This window comes from Homo sapiens, chromosome 15, assembly GCF_000001405.40.
Source record: "Homo sapiens chromosome 15, GRCh38.p14 Primary Assembly".
Lineage (NCBI taxonomy): Eukaryota > Metazoa > Chordata > Mammalia > Primates > Hominidae > Homo > Homo sapiens.
The window spans coordinates 64,868,358-64,875,154 of record NC_000015.10 but is presented as its reverse complement, the minus strand read 5'-3'; the positions used below and the strand labels follow the sequence as shown (position 1 = coordinate 64,875,154).

Below are 6,797 nucleotides of genomic sequence, written 5' to 3'. Positions count from 1 at the left end.
TTGTACTTGGAATCCACGGCTCCTAATGTAATGTTGGCATGGAGTAGGTGCCCAATACACCATATGATTATCCATTTACTAAGTCCTTGCTATGTGGTGGGCCCTGAGCAAATGCTTTATCTAAATTATCTTATTTCATCCTCAAAATCGCCTTGCCAGGAGTGATTGTCTCCCCCTAAGAGATGAGACTACAATTCCAAGAGGCTGAGCAGCCACTGCAGGTGCCACAGCTTATGCACAGCAGTGTCAGAGACAGATTCTCCATCTGCCACACCCATCTCTCCCTTGGGATCTTGCCTCCCCTGCTGCCAACTCCAGACATGGTCTTCAGGGAAACACTGACCCCCAGAACTAACCAGATCTGGGTGTAGAAAAAGCTCTTTATCCTGTTATTCGGTTAACTTGGGATTTCTTAAAAAGGAAGTTTTAATGGGAAACCAAGAGAAAGCCACACACACACACACACACACACACACACACACACACACACACACACATTTTAACAAAACAAATGGGCAATACCAGGTCCCCTCTGAGCTTTTGTTTTTTTTTTTTGAGATGGCAGTGGCACGATCTCAGCTGACTGCAACCTCCGCCTCCCAGGTTTAAGCGATCCTCCCACTTCGGCCTGCATCACCATGCCCTGCTAATTTTTTTTTGTAGAGACAGGATTTTGCCATGTTGCTCAGGCTGGTCTCAAGCCTTGAAGATTGGCCTCAAGACATCTGCCCACCTCAGCCTCCCAAAGTGCTGGAATTACACATATGAGCCACCACCTCCCCTGGCCGCTCTGAGCTGTTATTTCCTCCTCTCTAAAACCAGCAGGTGAGACTAGACGTCTCAAAGATCCTTATCAGCCCCAATATCCTGTGATTCCATGGATGGAATAGTTTCTCAGACTGGACGGTGGGCTGACGAATTGTGTTGGGGAGGGCAGTCCCCTAGGGACACAGGCTTCATGGGGAGGAAGGCCAAAAGCAGACCAGCCCCACACACCCTGCTCTTTAAGACTCCACTTTAGAGGTCCAAAGGGAGAAAGGGGCCGGGCACGGTGGCTGACGCCTATAATCCCAGCACTCTGGGAGGCCGAGGCAGGTGGATCACCTGAGGTCCGGAATTCGAAACCAACGTGGCCAACACGGTGAAACCCCGTCTCTACTAAAAATACAAAATTAGCTGGTCGTGGTGGTGGGTGCCTGTAGTCCCAGCTACTCGGGAGGCTGAGGCAGGAGAATTGCTTGAACCCAGGAGGAGGAGGAGGTTGCAGTGAGCCAAGATCGTGCCACTGCACTCCAGCCTGGCTCCAGCCTGGGCCACAGAGCAAGACCGGGTCTCAAATAAATAAATAAATAAATAAAAAGGGAGGCCAGGCGTGGTGGCTCACACCTGTAATCCCAGCACTTTGGGAGACCAAGGCAGGCAGATCACGAGGTCAGGAGATCTAGACCATCCTGGGGCGGGCGCCCGTAGTCCCAGCTACTCGGGAGGCTGAGGCAGAAGAATGGCATGAACTCGGGAGGCGGAGCTTGCAGTGAGCCGAGATTGTGCCACTGCACTCCAGCCTGGGTGACAGAGCGAGACTCCATCTCAAAAAAAAACAAAAAACAAAAGAGAGAAAGGGATGGCTGGCCTAATAGCCTTCTGGACCCTCTGATAATCCTCCCCAGGGTGAGTGTGAGTTTGAAGCCAGATAGGCCTACGGCTTGGAGTCCAGATCTGCAAGCTGCCTGCTGGATGTTGAAGGGTCCTGTCTCCTCCCTAGGCCTCAATGTAGGCATCTTCCCTTCTGTGGGCCACCCCCTCTGGTCCCAAGCCCTGCCTGGCCCCTCCTCCCATAAAATTATGACAACAGAGAGTGGAGGCTTGTGGGCAAGTTCCTGAGGAGGCTCAAACTCAGCTGTAACCCTTGGAGCCACCGTCATTTCCCCTCTCCCGCCTCCCCAGCTAGGAGGCTGAGAAGTTTCATCACAGCTGAGCTGTTGTCCTTATAAGGGAAAGTCCTCCGAAGCCTCTCCTTTGGGCCATAGCCAGCTGGTGGAGAACCTGCCCAGGCCTTGGGGTATCCTCCCAGTGCCAGGAAAGGTGGGGGTGCCCCAAGGACTCTGGGGTGAGCCTCCATCTGAAATCACAGACCCTCCAGACAAATAGCAGAAAGCAGTCAGTTGTGGCCCCAGGCCAAAACCCCAGGAGGGTCAAATCCCAGGTCCTGACACTAACTTTGGTCCCCTACCTAAGTTGCTTAAGCCTCAGTTTCTTAACCTGTAAAATGGAGTGAAATTACATCTTCCTTGTGAGGCCACTGTGGTGACTGTGAGAGGTTAACAGGCCTGGCAAACAGTAGGTGCTCTGTGAGGCCAGGCTGCTGGAGTTTATTAAGCATTTTCTTTTCTTTTTTTTTTTTTTTTTTTTGAGACATAGTCTCACTCTGTTGCCTCCTGAGTAGCTGAGACTACAGGCGCCTGCCACCACTCCTGGCTAATTTTGTATTTTTAGTAGAGACGGAGTTTTCCCGTGTTGGCCAGGCTGGTCTCGAACTCCTGACCTCAGGTGATCCACCCACCTCAGCCTCCCAAAGTGCTGGGATTATAGGTGTGAGCCACTGCACCTGGCTACCCCTGGGGTTTGAATCCAGGTGTGTCTGCCTCCAAACCTGAAGTCATGTTTTCTCTACTTACATCCTGCTGTTTCCTCTAAGAATTTTGTTAAATTATGTCAACAGGGAGGAATTTCCATCATCACCTCTCCACCATCCATGTTCCATCACAGAGCCTCCTTGGTCACAGAAACCTCTGTGGAGTGAGTTTGTCTTTTCTGACACCCCTTTTGTCTGGGACATGAGGGTAGGGGTGGGGAGGCAGGAAGACAAGACAGGGAGAAGGGAACAAAACACAGTGACTCCCGAGACAGGATGCCGCCAGGGCCTAGGCAGGGGTAGAGGAAGGGGCAATCTGGTTGCCCCTCCCCCTGTCCTGGGTCCTGTCTGATGATAGCCACCTTGTGATTTGTGAAACCCTCTACTGGGCTGGACACGGTGGCTCACGCATGTAATCCCAAGCACTTTGGTAGGCCAAGGCGGGCAGATCACTCATGGTCAGAAGTTCGAGACCAGCCTGGCCAACATGGTGAAACTCCATCTCTACTAAAAATACAAAAATTAGCCAGGCGTGGTAGCGCACGCCTGTAGTCCCAGCTCTCAGGAGGCTGAGGCAGGAGAATTGCTTGAACCCAGGAGGCGGAGGTTGCCATGAGCTGAGATCACACCACTGCACTCCAGCCTGGATGACAGACCGAGACTCCGTCTTAATTAAAAAATATGTACATATCCTAGCCGGGCTCCATGGCTCACGCCTATAATCCCAGCACTTTGGGATGCCAGTGTGGGTGGATCACCTGAGATCAGTAGTTCGAGACCAACCTGGCCAACATAGTGAAACCCCGTCTCTACAAAAAATACAAAAATCAGCCAGGTGTGATGGCAGGCAACTGTAATCCCAGCTACTCGGGAGGCTGAGGCGGAAGAATCGCTTGAACCCAGGAGGCGGAGGTTGCAGTGAGCCAAGATCACACCACTGCACTCCAGCCTGGGCGACAGAGACTCAGTCTCAAAAAAAAAGGCCAGGTGCGGTGGCTCACGCCTGTAATCCCAGCACTTTGGGAGGCTGAGGCGGGCGGATCATGAGGACAGGAAACCGAGACCATCCTGGCTAACATGGTGAAACTCCGTCTCTACTAAAAAAAAAAATTATATATATATATATATATATATTAGCTGGGTGTGGTGGCGCGCGCCTGTAGTCCCAGCTACTTGGGAGGCTGAGGCAGGAGAATGGCATGAACCCAGGAGGCGGAGGTTGCAGTGAGCCAAGATAGCGCCACTGCACTCCAGCCTGGGCGACAGAGCCAGACTCCATCTCAAAAAAAAAAAAAAAAAAATCCTGCACTGTAACAACCCACAGGACTTCAAGTCACAGAGATATGGCAGCCTGTGTTCAAAAGGAGGGCTACCCTTCTCTGCACAGGCCTCCAGCCCCAAGACCAGAGGGAAACGCACTTCTTCTTCTTTTTTTTTTTCTTGAGATGGAGTCTTGCTCTGTCGCCAGGCTGGAGTGCAGTGGCGTAATCTCGGCTCACTGCAACCTCCGCCTTCTGATTTCAAGCGATTCTCCTACCTCAGCCTCCCCAGTAGCTGGGACTACAGGCACATGCCACCATGCCCAGCTAATTTTTGTATTTTTAGTAGAGATGGGGTTTCACCGTGTTGGCCAGGATGGTCTCGATCTCTTGACCTTGTGCTCTGCCCACCTTGACCTCCCAAAGTGCTGGGATTACAGGCGTGAGCCACCGCGCCTGGCCAGAAATGTGCTTCTTACCACATCCTTCCCCATGGCTGGCCAACACCATCCCAGCAGCCACTCTCTTCAAAGTGGCCTTACAGAGGGGACTCTGCCATCAAAAAGACTCCTCTATGATGAAGGGGCCTGGGAAGATGGAGTGATTCACCTGAGGTCCCTCAGCTTCTGCGGGCCACTCACTCGGTATAGCTGTCACGCGCCAGGGCAGTGGCAGGGGAATTCAGGAGCGACATGAGGGTCATTGCCACAATTGATAGGCCCCGGTTCAGGTGTTTCCTGTTGTGTTGGCCCCGGGGTCTGTCCATGGTTCTCACAGAGGAGGAGGAAGGGAGCTGGGCTTTGGTGAGCACAGTCGTGCTTTCCCACATGGGGGATGGCGGGTGGGGAGAGGGTGTGGCTGTAATCCCCTTTTGTGGGTGAGGAAACTGAGGTCTCCTGAAACTGAGACACACCCAAGGTCCTTGGGTGAGATTTGGACCTTGGCAGCCTGGTTTGGAGCTGTCCACTGGCCTAAGGGCTTCCCAACAGTGTTCAGGGAAGCCCTGGAATTCTGCTGCATTTTGTTTGTGTCAGGAGGTCAGGAGCCAAAGATAGGACCCAGGCTCACCCTTAACAAGGACCAGGCTCTGAGGGTAAAATAATGGCTGGAATCATCATTTTAGAACCATTGTAGGAAACACCTGTTCAGCAAGAATCATCAATGGATACTAAATCTGGGGAAATTTGTGGTGAGGTGCAACATATTTAGATGATCTTGTCTCCCAGATTATTAGTAAGAGGAAAAATGCAAAAACATTAACAGTAGAAAAATCAGACACCTGGCCCCAGTAATCAAAATGAACATCACCCATGAGGGCCAGATGCAGGTAGTCCATCTCCAGAGTAATATCCTGAGAAGGACCCAATTGCCTGTGCAGTTTCCAGCTGAGAATCCATAACCTCAATTAACTATCACAACTAAGCAGGTGGAAACCTCAGACAAACCCCAAAAGAGGAATCAGAAAGGGGAGGACTGTATTCTTCAAAAATGTCAATGTCATCAGAGACAAAGCAAGGCTGGGGAAATGTTTCAGATTGAAGGAGATGAAAGAGTGATGACAGTTGTATGCCTGACCTGACACCAACCAGAGGAAACATATAATAAAGGATATTATTGGGTCAAATGACAAATAGGAATATGAGCAATAAACTATTGTTATCAGTGTTAAATGTACTGATAACTGTACTACAGTTACATAAGAGAATATACTTATTTTTAGGAAATACACAGTGAAGTATTAAATATTTAAGGATAAGAAGCCATGATAACCAACTATCCAGTGATTCAGAAAAAAGTTATGGGCCAGGCGTGGTGGCTCATGCCTGTGATCCCAGCACTTTGGGAGGGCAAGGCAGGCGGATCACAAGGTCAGGAGTTCGAGACCAGCCTGGCCAACACAGTGAAACCCTGTCTCTACTAAAAATACAAAAATTATCAGGGCGTGGCGGTGTGTGCCTGCAGTCCCAGCTACTCGGGAGGCTGAGGTAGGAGAACCGCTTGAACCTGGGAGGCAGAGGTTGTGGTGAGCTGAGATTGTGCCACACTGCACTCCAGCCTGGGCAACAAGAGCAAGACTCCATCTCAAAGAAAAAAAATTATATGTATATGTGAAAAAGAGAAAGTGCTCAAAAGAGAAAACAGGTCAATCTTGCTAGAGTAAATGGGTGTTCTTTGCACTGTTCTTTTTTTGAGACAGATTCTTGCTCCGTTGCCCAGGCTAGAGTGCAGAGGCATGATCTCAGCTCACTGCAACCTTCACCTCCCAGGTTCAAGCGATTCTCATGCTTCAGCCTCCGGAGTAGCTGGGATTACAGGCACGCGCCACCACGCCCGGCTGATTTTTGTATTTTTAGTAGAGATGGGATTTCACCATGTTGGCCAGGCTGGTCTCGAACTCCTGACCTCATGATCCACCCACCTCGGCCTCCCAAAGTGCTGGGATTACAGACATGAGCTACCATACCATGGCCTTTGTACTATTCTTATTCCTGCAATTTTTCTCTAAGTTTAAAAGTATTTCCAAATGAAAAGTTTGGTTTTTGAAAACTATTGTTCCTTGCGACACTTAGCCCCCAGCCGTAGAAACACTGGGGGTGGGGGTATATATCAGAAAGGCCTGAGTTTAGCAAGAACAGAATGCTGCACAAGGTGGCTCATGCCTGTAATCCCCTTTGGGAGGCTGAGGTGGGAAGATGGCTTGAGGCCAGCAGTTCGAGACCAGCCTGAGCAACATAGTAGGACCACATCTCTAATAATAATAATAATAATAATAATAATAATAATAATAATAATAGGGTCCGGGCGTGGTGGCTCATGCCTGTAATCCCAGCACTTTGGGAGGCCGAGGTGGGTGGATCATGAGGTCAGCAGTTCGAGACCAGCCTGACCAACATGGTGAAACCCCG

General features: G+C 50.4%; 2 annotated features.

Moving 5' to 3' along the window:
• Positions 2,000 to 2,049: an enhancer, noted in NCBI's record as "active region_9584". NCBI's record gives its function as "activates an Ori minimal core promoter by ATAC-STARR-seq in GM12878 lymphoblastoid cells {active_cell/tissue: GM12878}" and the evidence as "EXISTENCE:reporter gene assay evidence [ECO:0000049][PMID:35858748]".
• Positions 2,070 to 2,159: an enhancer, noted in NCBI's record as "active region_9583". NCBI's record gives its function as "activates an Ori minimal core promoter by ATAC-STARR-seq in GM12878 lymphoblastoid cells {active_cell/tissue: GM12878}" and the evidence as "EXISTENCE:reporter gene assay evidence [ECO:0000049][PMID:35858748]".